Source organism: Homo sapiens, chromosome 19 (genome assembly GCF_000001405.40).
Source record: "Homo sapiens chromosome 19, GRCh38.p14 Primary Assembly".
In the NCBI taxonomy this organism is placed as follows: Eukaryota; Metazoa; Chordata; class Mammalia; order Primates; family Hominidae; genus Homo; species Homo sapiens.
In genome coordinates this window covers 49,109,927-49,125,046 of record NC_000019.10, presented here as the reverse complement: position 1 = coordinate 49,125,046, position 15,120 = coordinate 49,109,927, and the positions used below count along the sequence as shown (strand labels likewise).

The following is a 15,120-nucleotide window of genomic DNA, read 5'->3' as shown; positions in this document are numbered from 1 at the left end:
CGCCCAGGCTGGAGTGCGCTGGCGTGATCTCGGCTCACTGCAACCTCTGCCTCCCGGGTTCAAGCGATTCTCCTGCCTCAGCTTCCCAAGTAACTGCGACTACAGGCTCGTGCCGCCACGCCCGGCTAATTATTTTTTGTATGTTTAGTAGAGACGGGTTTCACCATGTTAGCCAGGATGAGCTCAATCTCCTGACCTCGTGATCCACCCGCCTCGGCCTCCCAAAGTGCTGAGATTATAGGCATGAGCCACCGCGCCCAGCCCCAACATGATATCTAAAACCAGCAACCCACTCTGACGATGCAACACAGATGTTTTGGGGAGCCTGTTCCAGAGCCTTAAATTGACCGAGAAGGAAATAAAAAACACAGCAAGGCTGGACATAGAACCTAGAAGGTTACTACACACAGTACAGGGTGGGGAATAGACGTATGCTTCCACGCTTTCAATGGCTTGGGGTAAGAACCGCTCATAGGCCTAAGTAATCTAGAACTAAGTTCTGAAGCCTATAATCTAGAACCAGCCAAGAGCAACCCAATAACTTAGTGTCCAGGTCACCCCAGAACCCCACATACATAATGACACCCATTAATATACCTAATGCAACACATAACAAACATAGTCAGCAGATAAAATCTAGAACTCAGAGCCTGCTAGGGATGAAGGTATAACACAGAATATAGCAGGGGGCCAGGCGCGGTGGCTCATGCCTGTAATCCCAGCACTATGGGAGGCCAAGGTGGGAGGATCACTCGAGCCCAGGGGTTTGAGACCAGCCTGGGAAACATGGTGAAACCCTGTCTCTACAAAAAAATACAAAAATTAACCAGTCTCATAACCTGGTCTCAAAATAAATAAATAAATAGATTTTTTAAAAATTTAATTACATTTTTAAAAAAGAATATAGCAGGAGTCACATCCTTGGTTTTATCATGTGTCTAAGAGTTTGCTTGGAACTTACAAGTGTCTATAGGGCGGGGAGGGGGAGGGATCAAAAGGATGCATGTTGAGAATTGAGCATTTCCTGGAATAAAGACTGAGGCTGGCAAAGGAGGGGGGCTGTTCTGGAAATAAGGACATTTCTAGGCTGAAGGCTCCAGAAGAAGAGAGAGCCTAGAACAAGCTTAGAATGCCAAAGTGGCAGATGGAGGAGAAAACCCACGATCCACCAGGGGACAAGTTCTAAACTAAGGCTGCACTGGGGAAAAAATGACAGAAAATGAATGGGCCTAGAACCTAGAACCGGGGGAAGGAAAACATTATGTAGAACACTTCACTGGGAATCTTTTACATTTAAGAACATGAGGCCAGGTGCGGTGGTTCACGCCTGTAATCCCAGCATTTTGGGAGGCTGAGCCCGGGGGATCATTTGAGGTCAGGATTTCGAGACCAGCCTAGCCAACATGGTGAAACCCCATCTCTACTAAAAACACAAAAATTAGCCAGGCATGGTGGTACACACCTGTAATCCCAGCTCCTCGAGGGGCTGAGGCAGGAGAATTTGCTTGAACACGGGAGGCGGAGGTTGCAGTGAGCCGGGATTGCGTCACTGCACTCTGGCCTGGGCAACAGAGTGAGACTCGATCTCAAAAAAAAAAGAATGTGAAATTAGGGCCAGGCACAGTGGCTCATGCTTGTAATTCCAGCACTTTGGAAGGCCAAGGTGAGAGGATCGCCTCAGTAACATAATGAGATCCAATGTCTAAACAACGATAACAGGCCGGGCGTGGTGGCTCACACCTGTAATCCCAGCACTTTGGGAGGCAGGAGGGGGATCACTTGAGGTCAGGAGTTCGAGACCAGCCTGGCCAACATGGCAAAACCCTGTCTCTATTAAAAATACAAAAAAAATTAGCCAGGCGTGGTGGCATGTGCCTGTAGTCCCAGCTATTTGGGAGGCTGAGGCAGGAGAATTGTTTGAACCCGGGAGGCAGAGGTTGCAGTGAGCTGAGATCATACCACTGCACTCCAGCCTGGGTGACAGAGTGAGACTCCGTCTCAAAAATAAAATAAAAACTAAACAACAGGCCGGGCGTGGTGGCTCCTGCCTGTAATCCCAACACTTTGGGAGGCAGAGGCAGGTGGATCACGAGGTTAACAGATAGAGACCATCCTGGCTAACACGGTGATACCCCGTCTCTACCAAAAATACAAAATATTAGCCGGGCGTGGTGGTGGGCGCCTGTTGTCCCAGCTACTTGGGAGGCTGAGGCAGGAAAATGGTGTGAACCCAGAAGGCGGAGCTTGCAGTGAGCTGAGATTGCGCCACTGCACTCCAGCCTGGGAGACAGAGTGAGACTCCATCCCCCGCCAAAAAAAAAAAAAAAAAAAACAACTAAACAACAACAACAACAAAAAAGAATGTGCAATTAGATAGAACTTCCTTAGAACCTAAAACAGGGAAACAGGGAAGGGCATTCTAGAATCAATGGCACGAATTAGGAAGCCTAGAGCACATACTTGGAACACACACATCTTAGAAGTTAGATTGCTCCTGGGAAGAGAATGGAATCTAGAACAACGTGGCTGAAACCTGGAACACACTTGAAATGAACATTTAGCAAAGAAGGAAGGACTTGTTGTTAGAACTTTGGAACATGTCTGAGGATATGGTGGGATCAGAATCTGGCTCAGGGGTCTTATCTAAATATATGAAAAAAACAAAGGCTGTGCACAGTGGCTCACGCCTATAATCCCAGCACTTTGGGAGGCCGAGGCAGGTGATCACCTGAGGTCGGGAACTCGAGACTAGTCTGACCAACATGGAGAAACCCCCATCTCTACTAAAAATACAAAAAATTAGCCGGGCATGGTGGTAGGCGCCTGTAATCCCAGCTACTCAGGAGGCTGAGGCAGGAGAATCGCTTGAACGCGGGAGGCAGAGGTTGTGGTGAGCCAAGATCGCAGCATTGCACTCCAGCCTGAGCAACAAGAGTGAAACTCCGTCTCAAAAAAAAAAAAAAAAAAATTGGCATCTGGCCTAGAACTCAGACCATGCCTGGAATGAAAATGGAACACAGAACAGACATCAGCTGGGAGTGTTCTGGTGTTTAGAAGGAATCTAGAACATGGAGCAATGCAAGAGCACATGTGCGACAAGAAATGTGGCCCGGCCAGGCGCGATGGCCATGCCTGTAATCCCAGCACTTTTGGGAGCCAACAGAGAAGGATCCCTTGAGCCTAGGAGTTTCAGACCAGTCTGGGCAACATGGCGAAACCCCCATCTCTACAAAAAATAAATAAATAAATAAATAAATAAAATTTTTTTTTGAGACAGAGTTTCGCTCTTGTCGTTCAGGCTGGAGTGCAGTGGCACGATCTCAGCTCAATGCAACCTCCGCCTCCGGGGTTCAAACGACTCTCCTGCCTCAGCCTCCTGAGTAGCTGGGATTACAGGCATGTGCCACCACGCCTGGCTAATTTTGTATTTTTAGTAGAGACAGGGTTTCTCCATGTTGGCCAGGCTGGTCTCAAAATCCTGACCTCAGGTGATCCGCCCGCTTCAGCCTCCCAAAGTGCTGGGATTACCGGCATGAGCCACCGCGCCTGGCCAAAAAAATTTTTTTTTAATTAGCCAGGCCTGGTGGTGAGTGCTTGTGGTCCCAGCTACTCAGGCGGCTAAGGTGGGAAGATGACCTGAGCCTAGGAGGTGGAGGCTGCAGTGAGCTGTGATTGTGCCAGTGCACTCCAGCCTGGGCAACAGAGACCTTGTCTCAAAATAAATAAATAAATAAATAGAAAGAAAGAAATTTGTATGGCAGCAGGTAGCTTCTAGATCTCCTTATGAGCCCAGGCCACAGAATACATCTGGAGGAGGTGATGTGTGTTCGGCTCATTGGCCTGGGAGAGTGTACTTGGAGAAGGGGAACTCATCTGAGCCTCAGGGGGCAATGGAGTGCTAGAAACATCTCAACAAGCTGCATCTTAGGGGAAAGAGTAGAGAGTCCTGAAGCCCGCCACCTGGGGTGACATGAGGATGAGACAGGGGTTTGGTAGGGCCACAGGAGATGTGAAGTTGATGGGGCAGAGTGATGAGGCTGTGAAGACCTGGTTCCTAAAAGTGAGACCTGAGAAACTAGATACCTGCTGGGGAGGGCAGTGGACAGAGCTGGGAGCCTGGACTCCTGAATCCTTGTGGAGGTAAATGATGGGGGATTGGAAGGTGAGAGCCTGAGGTCTTGTTTGGAGAGAGGGTTGAGGCAGACAGCCTCAGTAAAAGCTGGTGGGCAGTACGGAAGCTGGGGTCTGAACTCCTGGGTCCCTGAGGGGATAGGAGACTGGGACCAAGACATTTAGGTCCCCAAGTGGGAGTGTGAACAGAAGTCAGAGAACTGCATTGAGAATCACATTCCGGGTCCCCCAAAGGAAAGGAGTCATGGCGCCTGAGTCCCTCGGGGAGCAGATGCTGGGTGCCAGGAGGCTAAGTCTGTGTGTCTGCAGGGCACAGCGGGGTTCTAAGCAGAGCAAACGCTGGGGAACAGGATTCCTAGGTGCTGACGGGGTGAGGGCTACCACCTGGGGCCAGCAGAGGTGTAGACACGGACAGGCTTCCCGAACGGGGTGGGAGCTGCATCCCCGGGTGCCATGGTCCCCACGGCGACCAGAATAGGAAAATTCAGAAGCCCTGGATCCTCAGGGAGCAGCTGGAGTCCCAGGAACCTGGGGTGCCGAGGACGGGGCCACGAGCCTGGCCGGCAGAACCCAGAGGCTGGGGCGCCCTGGTCGGGGAGGGCCCGGGTATTCCCGGGTCAAAGGCGCGGCGGGGGGATCCCCGCGCCGCCTGCGCCCCCTCCCTGGTGGCGGCGGCAGGAGGTGGGGGGAGGCGAGGCTGCCGAGCGCGCTGACCATGGACAGCTCCAGAGCGGGCCTGTGTCCAGGGCGGCCGCCGAGCCTGCCTGGACCGTGGGACGCAGCCGGCTGTGCAAGCCCGAGGCTGGCGACGGGAGACGGAGTGCGCGAAGCGGGGACGATGCGGACGCGTCTGGGGAGTCTGGCACCGCCGCGGCGGGTGTCTGGAGCTCCCAGGACAGGGTCAGGAAGGGGGATCTAGGCTCTAGGAGGGGTCCCGGGGCCGGACCGGGAAATCCAAGCTCCTGGGCCCTGGAGGAGGCGCGAGGCGGCGGTGCGCCCGGGATTCTAGGGTTCGGTCGGGGACTCTGGGCGCCGGGAGGGGCACGCCTGAGTCCCCGGGGTTGGGGTGTGAAATCTGGGCTCGGGGGTCCCCTGGGATGAGGAAGGGAATCCGGGATCTCGGGGAGGCGGGGGAGGCTCGCCAAGGGGTCCCCAGGGTGGGCGCTGCCAGGAGGGCCGGGCCGGGCTCTTACCTGCCTGGTCCGCGGCGGCTGCGGGCGGAGCTGGGCTGCAGGAGGGACGTGGGGTGGAGTGGGGGGGCCGGGCGGGGCCCCTGGCAGCGGCCGGGGCCCGGCTCTGTCGCTTCGGAGCCCTGGAGCCCTGTCTCCGACGCTCGCGCGGGCTCCGCGTCTCTGGCTCCGGCTTGGGCGCTGGGGACCCCCCTCCCCCTCACGCTCTCACTGCCTTCTACCCCCAAAATAGCCCCCTGCCCCTGTCACCGATCAGCCTCCCCCCGCGAGGCCGCAGCCGCCAGATCCAGGGGTGCCCACCAGCGCCCCCCAAATCCCACCTTCCCCCCAAAAAAATTCCTCCTCCCTCCCCCTCCCCCCCCACGGCTCCCGGGCGGTCGTGGCCCCTTTAACAGGAGACTGACAGACGGCGAAGAGCGGCCAATGGGAGAGAGCGTCGGCGCCGGCCGGCGACTAGACCCCGCCTCCACACCGGCCGGGAGGGGTCGCGCGGGCGGAGAGCGAGAGGCGGGGCATAAGGCGCGTCGACCAATAGGCACGCGGCGTGAGGCGGCTGGGGCGGGAGGCGGAGCCCGGCAGGGGGATGATGTCACCTGGAGCGAGTAGCGCGCGGCGTGGAACGCGAGTCGCGACCCCGGCTCCCGGCAGTGGCGCGCACTAGCCCTCGCGCCGCACGGGACACGAGGGCTGGGCGGGCAGCGGGATGAGGCTAAAGGTTGGATTTCAAGGCGGGGGCTGCTTCCGGAAAGACGCGCTGTGTTTGGAAGGTGGAGTGAGCGCCCGGTGGGCGAGGGCACCTCATTCTGCACCCCTGCGCCCGCCTCGGGAACTGCACGCGGCACCCCCACCCGCGACTCCCACGCAGACAGTAGTGCGGCCTGCAGGGTTCCCCCGGCGGACGAGGCTAATGGTTCGCTCCGCCCCGCCCACACAGAGGCCGCCCACTGGCTCCGGCTGCGTTTCAGGACTCTGGAGGAAGGGACTTGGCCTTCGCCCTCAGACGCTCTTAAGGGTAGGCAGCGTTGTCCTCAGTTCTGCCCCAGCACTCAGACCCAGACTGGGTCCCTGCCTCCGCCCTCCGCCCTCGGACTAGTCTCTTGGAAGCCGGCCTGTCTCCGCCTTCAGACCTAGGGAGAGGTCTTAACCTCTGTTCTCAGACTCTGGAAAAGGCTTCTCAACGGCTTGGCCTGACCTCAGCTCCTCGCATTCCCTCCACATCTCAAGACACCAACCCAGGGATGCAGGACAGACACACAGACACTCAGTGAGGGTCAAATATCTTTAAATAAAGTGCCAGGAACAATAAATACTGTACAGGAAGAGAGTGCACGTGAACGTCCAGATCTGTGGTTTCAACCTCGAGACTCCAAGGACCTGCAAGGGGGGTGGACAAGGGACCCGGGATCAGGGAGGCTCCGGGTAGACAAGAGGGGCAGGACTGGGGTTGCAGAGGCAAGGGCCCAGGTAAGTGGGCTGAGGGATCCCAGCCACAGTAGGTTCCGTATCTTGGGATGGAAGGAAGCTAAGGGCTCCCCAGGGGATTTGGCCAAACTAGCCTGGGGTGAGAGCCTGGGCCAAGGGTCAAGGGTCAGGATCCCAGAGGAGGGGCCAGGGCTGGAAGATCCAGGAAGCACTGGCCTGGTTTGGGAGCCTGGGGTTAAAGGGAGCCCGTGGAGGCCCCAGGGGTGTGGTGACCCAGGGGCTCACGAGTAGCTCTGATGCTGTTGGCGCCGGCGGGCAGAGCGCATCTTCTCGAACCGGGCCTCCATCTCCTCCAGCACTCGCGGTGTGTAACGGACAACCAGCTTCACCGAGCCCTGGGCCGCCTTCAGCAGCTCCACCGCCTTCTCATGCTGCTCACCCTCAACGCTCTGCAGGGCCCAACACAGACAGCTGAGCCTGGGGCCCGCTGCCCTCGTCCAGCCCCCACTGGGAGATGGGACCCACTGCTAGTGAGCCTGGTGCCAGCCCTGAGATGTCAATGCCTCATGTCCTCCTCGTGGGAGTCATTAACTCCTGGTTCAGTGTCCTCCTCCAAAACCTCCCAGGATTCCCATGTCAGGGACAGCCCCGTGTTCCCTCAGTCCCTGGCCAAACGTCCAGACCCATCTTTGTGGCCTCCCTGCCCACAGCCCACTAATGTCCGCCCGCCTTGACTCCCTCTTTTTTGTCCCCACAGCCCTGGGCCAGCTCAGGCCTTGTCCTCTTTTCTCTGGACTCTTACCCCAGCCTCCTCCCTGGCCTGGCTTCTAATCTCTCCCCTCAGTTCATCTCCCATAGAGTCCCAGAGTGGTCCTTCTGCACCTGCAAGCTGAGTTTATCCCTGGCTCACCCCTCCCATAGCTCCCCAGCACCCATGGGACAAAGTCCCAGCTTCTCAGGCTGGCACTCAGGTCCTGTATGGCTGACCCCAGCCATCTCTCCAGTTATGCTTCCCTCAACTCTAACCACAGTGAGTTTTGTTTTTTTTTTTTTTTTTTGAGAGGGAGTCTCACTCTGTCACCCACGCTGGAGTGCAGTGGTGCTATCTCAGCTCACTGCAACCTCTGCCTCCCAGGTTCAAGCGATTCTCCTGCCTCACCCTCCCAAGTAGCTGGGATTACAGGTGCCTGCCACCACACCTGGCTAATTTTTGTATTTTTAGTAGAGATGGGATTTCACCATGTTGGCCAGGCTGGTCTTGAACTCCTGACCTCAAGTGATCCACGTGCCTCAGCCTCCCAAAGTGCTGGGATTACAGGTGTGAGCCACCGCACCCAGCCTAACCACAGTGATTTTAATTACCTGCATGCCCCAGACCTCCATCAGAACTAAGCCCTTTCTTTTCAGCTCAGAGGTATGCCAAGTCAGTATCCTTATCTACAGTACCCTCAGCAGGAACACCCTGTACCTTGTTTGCCTGGAGAACTCCTACTCATCCTTTAACACCCAACCCAAATGTTCCTTACTCTGCAAAACCTTCCTGTATCTATGCTGGCCTGGTGCCACATCTGGGCTGTCACAATACTTTGCACTTCCTCATTATTATGTCTCTGGATTAGGACTATTTCAGCCGGGGCCTACTGCCCTCCCCAGAGAGAGAAGGTTGAGTGTAGGGAGCTGAGGCCAACATCTCTCAGAGTCTGTAACATTGCCCAGCACAGGGCTAGCCATACAGACAACACTCAGTGTGTGTTGAGTGAATGTCAAAAGCAGGGGCTATGCTACGTTAGACAGACTGTGTCCCCCAGTCCTGCCTCAGCCCTCCACTCACCACACCGTTCACCGACAACAGTTGATCCCCACGCTTGAGGCCTCCATGGCGGTCAGCCACACCCCCTGGGATGACCCGGGAGATGTAGATGGGCGAGTTTTGCTCTTTGCCACCCATGATGTTGAAGCCTAGGCCCTCATCCGTCTTGGGTAGCTCCACTACCCTGGGATGTGCGTGGCCCTCGCTGGCTGTGAAGGCAGCCACTGTGGCCTGGGAGAGAGAAAGCGACTGAAGATGAGGGCCCCTTCCAGGTAGGCATGAAAGCTGGGGTGGGGGATGTGGACCGAGGACAGCGATTTAGCCTGGGTTACTATCCCCAAGCATGGGACACTTGTCATGGCACAATGCACGATCCCCCTGTAATGACTGTGCGTCTCTTTCTGTTCACTTGCAAGAGAAAGTGTCCATTTGGTGTGTGTCTTGAATACCCCATACTTGCCAATCTTACTTTTTTTTTTTTTTTGAGATGAAGTCTCACTCTGTTGCCCAGGCTGGAGTGCAATGGCATGATCTCGGCTCACTGCAACCTCGGCCTCCTGGGTTCAAGCGATTCTCCTGTCTCAGCCTCCGGAGTTGTAATCCAGCTGGGATTACAGGCACTCGCCACCACGCTCGGCTTTTTCTTTCTTTTTTTTTTTTTTTGTATTTCTGTGGAGACGGGGTTTCACCATGTTGGCCAGGCTGGTCTCGAACTCCTGACCTCAACTGATCCACCTGCCTCGGCCTCCCAAAGTGTTGGGATTACAGGCGTGAGCCACCGTGCCTGGCCTCAATCTTACTTTTAAACAGAGGAAAGCCAGGCCTGGAGGGAGATCTGAGCCTCCGGACAGCAGCAAGAGGTAGCAGCATCTAACTATTGTGCAGTGAGAGGTCAGAGCGCCATGAGTTTCCTGGTTTGCACTGTACAGATGTTGAAGGTTATCTTCTACCAACCATGCCATACTGTTTCCATTTGCAGTTGCTAAAGATGCCTTAGTATGACATTTAAGTTAAAAATGTGCGATTATTTACTAATAGTAAGGTGGCACATAGATTTAGCAAAAATCATGAGGGAGGAAACAGAAATGACTGGCATGAAGGAGATATTGAGTTCGACTAGGCAGTTAAATAGACACCAGGAGCAATGGGGTGCGGGGCCCACCTTGGCTGTGGCATGGGCTCGGATCTCGGCGCTGCCGGTGATGTCCAGCGTGTCATAAAGCTGCTCATACACCTGGGTGAGGAGGCAGCGGCATCAGGGAGTCGCCAGCTCCTCCAGCCCTAGACGCAGGAGTTCAGGCCTCTAGACCCTCTCCCGCTACCACGCAAGGATCCGCCCCGCCCCCGCAACAGAAGGCCGAGAAAACTACAACTCCCGAAGAACCCCTGAGCTGAAGCGTTGGCACCCCAAGGCGGGCCGCCTCGGGAGCTGCCGGGAGGCGTAGTCTCCGGGCTCGGGACAAGCAGGAGGAGGAGGAGGAGGACGACGGCCACCAGCTCGCGCCCCTGCGCCGCGCGCCCCTCACCTCTCGGATAGCGGAGCAGAAGCGGCTCTGCAGAACTCGCTGGAGGGCCTGCAGCTTCTGCGGCGGCAGCTCCCCGCTGCGCTGGAGCCGCTCGAGGAGCTCAACCGCCCGGGACACGTCTGCGGGGCGGGGGCGGGGCGCAGAAACCCCGAGTGTCAGAGACCCCGAGACGCAGAGAAGCAAGGAGAGCGGCGGAGTGAGGCCGAGCGCACAGTCCGGGGAGGACGGCCGAAGCCTAGTCGGACACCCCGCAGAGTCCAGGGTGGCGCAGGAGAGACTGCCACCAGCGGCCCTGCGGCCCCGGGACCCCTCCACAGGCCGGGTTGTAAGGCGGGCGCCCAGCGTCCCGGCCCGCGCCCAGGGAGCCTCCCACACCTAGCGACCGCCCGGCCCCGGCGCCCGCCCCGCCCACCCCCTCCGGGTCCGCTGGCCCACCCGCACTGGCCTGACCCGGGAAGGGCGGGGACCGGGGGCTGGGTATGTAGGCCGCGGCCCGGGTGGGCAGGGCCCCCTGGCGCACGCTTACCCCGCTCCAGCCCCAGCGGCTCCACCAGCGCAGCCATGTCGGCGCCACAGCTGCCAGCCGCCCGCCTGCCCTGGCGCCGGCGAGGAGGGCGGGGCTGCGCGAGGCCACGCCCCGGGCCACGGGCGCCCCCTGCGGAGGCGCAGCCTGGAGAGCGCCCAGCTCTCCCTCGCCCGACTGCTCCGACCACCTGCCGCGCGCCAGCCGCGCCCTGCCCTCCGCCCCGGCCAGTCGGTCCTGTTGGCGACCCCTCCCACTGCAGGTTCGGTCTGTGTGTACCTTTCAGGATCCGTGTCTGCCTGCCCTCCACACCCGTCTATCCCCTGTCCATCCTTTCCCCACATTCATTCAACAAACTCTTGTGAAACATCTGAGCCCAAGTCATGGACACCGTGGTGAGCAGGACAGCCAAGCCCACGGCCCGAACGAAGCTTCCAGTCTATAGGGGAGGTAGACGACCAACTACGGCTGTGATGAGAGCTGAGAGTGGGGAGGTGATGATCTAGAAAACGAAGGAAATCCTAGAGGAGGGACATTGACATACAGTCCTGGGAGGTAAGATGAACAAGAGGTGGAGCTTGGGTCACCCCCACCACCCAGAAAGAGCCCACGTGGCTGGAAGCAGAGTTAGGATTGGTTGATGATGAGGTGAAAAGGTCGGCAGGATAGTTTATGCCTGGGCTCCTGCGTTGGCATATGCGCCTTGAGGATTTGGGGCTTCATGCAAACTCCTAAGAGAAAAATATGACACTCAAATTTGTATTATTATTATATTATTATTATTATTATTTTTGAGACGGAGCCTCGCTCTGTCGCCCAGGTTGGGCCTCAAATTTGTATTTTAAGATCACTGGGGCCGGGCACGGTGGCTCACACCTGTAATCCTAGCGCTTTGGGAGGCTGCAGCAAGACTACTTGAGCCCAGGAGTTCAAGACCAGCATAGGCAATATAGTGAGACCTCGTATCTATTGAAAAAAAAAAAATCACTGTAGCCACTGTGGAGACTGGTTTGGACAAGAACAAGAGGAGAAGCAGCGGGGCAACTTACGAGGCTACCACAGCCATCCAGGTGGCAGCTAGCACCAGGGCCAAAGCACAGAAGATGGGTGGGCAGATGTGGGAAATGTCTAGACAAGCCTTGGTGCTTGGCTATATAAGGGGATTGGGAGGTGCAGGAGAAGACAGTATTAAGGTGCTTTGGTGCCATTTTTAAGATGGTCTACACTGAAAGAGGGATACTGGATATTTTGTTTTTGAGACACAGTCTTCCCTCTGTTGCCCAGTCTCGAGTGCAGTGGCGTGATCTCGGCTCATTGCAACCTCTGCCTCCCGGGTGCAAGCAATTCTCCTGCCTCAGCCTCCTGAGTAGCTGAGAGTACAGGTGTGCACCTCCACACCTGCCAAATTTTTGTATTTTTCATAGAGATGGGGTTTCACCATGATGGCCAGGCTGGTCTCGAACTCCTGACCTCAAGTGATCCACCTGCCTCAGCCTCCCAAAGTGCTGGGATTACAGGCGCGAGCCACCTTGCCTGGCCGATACTGGATATTTTGAATTTGAGGAGCCTATGCAGAATCCATGGGGAGAAACTATCGATCTAGGTCTAGGGCTCAAAAGAGCAACCTGGTCTGCAGGCATGTTTGAATATTGGGGCATAGGTGGTAAATAAAACCACCGGAGTGGATAAGAATGTCAGGGGCAAGCGAATATTAAGACGGCCTAGAACTGGTCCCCAGACCTCTCTAACACTTAAAAGTCAGGAGGACAGCAGAGAATGGCCTGAAATGTAGGCAGAAACCCAGGTGGGAGAAACCATGAGAAGAGGGGTTTTTAAATTTTATCTTCTTTTTTTGTTTGTTTTAGATGGAGGGGTCTTTGTTGCTCAGGCTGGTCTTGAACTCCTGGGCTCAAACAATCCCCCTGCCTTGGCCTCCCAAAGTGCTGAGTTTACAGGCACGAACCGCTGTGTCTGGCTGCGAGTGTTTTTAAAAAGAAGTGTGGCTGGGCATGGTGGCTCACGCCTGGAATCCCAGCACTTTGGGGGGCCGAGGCGGGTGGATCGCCTGAGGTCAGGAGACCAGCCTGACCACATGGAGAAACCCTGTCTGTACTAAAAATACAAAAGTAGCCAGGCATGGTGGTGCATGCCTGTAATCCCAACTACTGGGGAGGCTGAGGCAGGAGAACTGCTTGAACCCAAGAGGCGGAGGTTGCGGTGAGCGGAGATCATGCCATTGCATTCCAGCTTTGGGAAAAACAGCGAAACTCCGTCTCAAACAAACAAACAAACAAAAAAAGTGAGGCCAGGTGTGGTGGTCACGCCTGTAAGCATTTTGGGAGGCTGAGGCGGGCGGATCACCTGAGGTCAGGAGTTTGAGACCAGCCTGGCCAACTTCATGAAACCCCATCTCTCCTAAAAATACAAAAAATTAGCTGGGCGTGGTGGCGGGTGCCTGTAATCCCAGCTATTTGGGAGGCTGAGGCAGGAGAATAGCTTGAACCCAGGAGGTGGAGGTTGTAGTGAGCCGAGATCGTGCCATTACACTCCAGCCTGGGAAATAAGAGCGAAACTCCATCTTGGAAAATTAAATAAATAAATAAAAAATAAAAAAAGGAAGTGGTCAGTGGTATCATGCTCTAGAGAGGCCGAGGAGATGTGGACAAGACTTTGGAGAAAGTTGGCTGCTCTTCTGGTTCTGCTGGGTGGCGATATGGAGTCCAGAAAAGTGCTTGTTCCAAGTGGGAGGACTAGAGCAGGTTTGTCTGGCTGTCTCCTTCACTGTAGCTCTCTCTTTAGCAAAAAGTAATGTCTTTATGGGATTAAAAACAAAATCAAATAACACAGACAGGCTAATAATAGTGAAAAGCACCAGCCTCTACCTCTCCTAACTCTACTCACTGTGAGAGGGAACTTACAGATGTTTAGTCTGAGAGCTGCTTCTGTGTCTAAGTAACATGCTATTTCTCTCTCTATATATACATATATATGTGTGTGTGTGTGTGTGTGTGTGTGTGTGTTTTGTTGTTGTTGTCGTTACAGGGTCTCACTTTGTTGCCCAGGCTGAAGAGCAGTTGTGCAATCATGGCTCACTGCAGCCTTTACCTCCCTGGGCTCAGGTAATCCTTCCACCTCAGCCTCCTATCTGGGACCATAGGCGCACGCCACCACGTTTGGCTAATTTTTGTATTTTTTGTAGAGACCAGGCTTTTGCGATGTTGCCCAGGCTGGTCTCCATCTCCTGGGCTCAAGTGATCCTCCCACCTTGGCTTCCCAAAGTGTTGAGTTTACAGAGCCACCATGCCTGGCCACCACCTACTTAATTCTTAATTTCACTTGTGTTTTCTAGTTCTAGAATTGCCATTTAACTTTTTGTTAGATTCCAGATTTTTTTTTTTTTTTTGAGGCAGGGTCTTCCTGTCACCCAGGCTGGAGTGCAGTGGTGTGATCATAGCTCACTGAATCTCAAACTCCTTGGCTTAAAGAATCCTCCTACCTCTGCCTCTCAAGTAGCTAGATTCCAGATATCTCAACATTCTCCATCTTTTCCTTATTTTGTGAATATATCATAGTTATGATAACTCCAACATCTGAATCACCCCTGCCTGGGTCTCTTTCTATTGTCTATTTTGTTTCCCTCTTGGTTTTCAGCAAATTAAGTCCTTTCTAGCAAGGCTGGTAACTATTGAGTAGATGCTGAGTAATGGGTACTAAAAATAGTACATGTGGAGACTCGGAACGTTATCTTCTTCCAGAGTTTTCTTCTGACTAGCAGACTGCCTAAATCCTGAAAAAGTCTGGTTTTAGGCTTTCTTAGCCTGATTGATTATTTATTTATTCTTTTTGAGATGGAGTCTCACTCTGTTGCCCGGGCTGGAGTGCAATGGCACCATCTCGGCTCACTGCAACCTCCACCTCCCAGGTTCAAGCAATTCTGCCTCAGCCTCCCGAGTACCTGGGATTACAGGTGCTCACTACCATGCCTGGCTAATGCTTTGTATTTTTTAGTAGAGATTGGGTTTTGCCATGTTGGCCAGGATGGTCTCAAACTCCTGACCTCAGGTGGTCTGCCCACCTCAGCCTCCCAAAGAGCTGGGATTACAGGCATGAGCCACCGCACCTGGCCTCAGGGTAATTTTTGTATTTTTGGTAGAGACAGGGTTTTGCCATGTTGGCCAGGCTAGTCTTGAACTCCTGACCTCAAGTAATCCACCCACCTCTGCTTCCCGAAGTGCTGGGATTACAAGCATGAGCCACCATGCCCAGCCTCTTAGTCTGATTTCTTCTGTTATGGCGTTACTCTGACATTGAGGCACCCTGGCCATCTCAAGCAGAGCCAATCCATGGTGGGCCTTGAACCCCAACCTGTCTCCCCTAGAACAGCATGGCTGCTGCAGTCTCCAGGCCACCAGTTCCTTAGCCTCCCAGTTACTGCATTCTGATGAGTTTCTTGGGGGGGGGGGTCTTGCAGATAGTGAGCAGCTTGAGTTGGCAGATGCCTCTAAGGGAGGGTGCACG

The 15,120-nt window shown here is 55.0% G+C and overlaps 3 protein-coding genes across 13 annotated transcripts in view, besides 4 other annotated features; 1 reads left to right on the top strand and 2 right to left on the bottom strand.

Moving 5' to 3' along the window:
* Window positions 1-5,503, bottom strand: part of PPFIA3 (PPFI scaffold protein A3) — a 31,483-nt gene extending 25,980 nt beyond the window's left edge. For all 7 annotated transcript variants that reach the window (XR_007067023.1, XR_007067024.1, NR_103842.2 and 4 more), the window contains exon 1: window positions 5,325-5,503. The gene's annotated coding sequence lies outside the window, so the exon portion shown is untranslated. The remainder of the gene's footprint in view (window positions 1-5,324) is intronic.
* Window positions 4,219-4,719: an enhancer, noted in NCBI's record as "H3K4me1 hESC enhancer chr19:49623585-49624085 (GRCh37/hg19 assembly coordinates)". NCBI's record gives its function as "activates a minimal SCP1, AML or CMV promoter by ChIP-STARR-seq in primed H9 embryonic stem cells {active_cell/tissue: H9 hESC(primed)}" and the evidence as "EXISTENCE:reporter gene assay evidence [ECO:0000049][PMID:30033119]".
* Window positions 5,673-5,892: a silencer, noted in NCBI's record as "silent region_10913". NCBI's record gives its function as "represses an Ori minimal core promoter by ATAC-STARR-seq in GM12878 lymphoblastoid cells {active_cell/tissue: GM12878}" and the evidence as "EXISTENCE:reporter gene assay evidence [ECO:0000049][PMID:35858748]".
* C19orf73 (chromosome 19 open reading frame 73) lies at window positions 5,904-6,645 on the top strand. The gene has a single exon (NM_018111.3). It carries the CDS (start codon window positions 6,025-6,027, stop codon window positions 6,412-6,414), a length of 390 nt encoding a protein of 129 aa, NP_060581.2. The 5' UTR covers window positions 5,904-6,024; the 3' UTR covers window positions 6,415-6,645.
* Window positions 6,082-6,593: an enhancer, noted in NCBI's record as "H3K27ac-H3K4me1 hESC enhancer chr19:49621711-49622222 (GRCh37/hg19 assembly coordinates)". NCBI's record gives its function as "activates a minimal SCP1, AML or CMV promoter by ChIP-STARR-seq in naive H9 embryonic stem cells {active_cell/tissue: H9 hESC(naive)}" and the evidence as "EXISTENCE:reporter gene assay evidence [ECO:0000049][PMID:30033119]".
* On the bottom strand, window positions 6,587-10,677 carry LIN7B (lin-7 cell polarity scaffold B). 5 transcript variants are annotated; one of them, XR_243950.4, is made up of 6 exons: window positions 10,606-10,677; window positions 10,080-10,198; window positions 9,716-9,787; window positions 8,575-8,784; window positions 6,960-7,192; window positions 6,587-6,695 (listed from the first exon to the last, which is right to left on the bottom strand). XR_243950.4 is itself a non-coding variant. In NM_022165.3 (6 exons), the coding sequence occupies exons 1-6, from the start codon at window positions 10,640-10,642 to the stop codon at window positions 6,674-6,676; spliced, it is 624 nt and encodes a 207-aa protein (NP_071448.1). In that variant the 5' UTR covers window positions 10,643-10,677; the 3' UTR covers window positions 6,587-6,673. The 5 variants fall into 5 exon arrangements, 4 of the variants coding, with proteins under 4 accessions (NP_071448.1, NP_001295348.1, XP_006723386.1 ...); NM_022165.3 differs by having other exon boundaries at window positions 7,029-7,192; NM_001308419.2 differs by lacking the exon at window positions 8,575-8,784 and having other exon boundaries at window positions 7,029-7,192.
* Window positions 10,278-10,857: a silencer, noted in NCBI's record as "silent region_10912". NCBI's record gives its function as "represses an Ori minimal core promoter by ATAC-STARR-seq in GM12878 lymphoblastoid cells {active_cell/tissue: GM12878}" and the evidence as "EXISTENCE:reporter gene assay evidence [ECO:0000049][PMID:35858748]".

Excerpts from the sequence above, each read along its gene's own strand:
- C19orf73 (NM_018111.3), top strand. The coding sequence starts at position 6,025 with ATGAGGCTAAAGGTTGGATTTCAAGGCGGGGGCTGCTTCCGGAAAGAC.
- LIN7B (NM_022165.3), bottom strand. The coding sequence starts at position 10,642 with ATGGCTGCGCTGGTGGAGCCGCTGGGGCTGGAGCGGG. Across the intron at positions 10,199-10,605 it reads GCCGCTGGGGCTGGAGCGGG|ACGTGTCCCGGGCGGTTGAG; the intron begins GTAAGCGTGCGC and ends CCCGCCCCGCAG. Across the intron at positions 8,785-9,715 it reads GAGCCCATGCCACAGCCAAG|GCCACAGTGGCTGCCTTCAC; the intron begins GTGGGCCCCGCA and ends TCTCTCTCCCAG.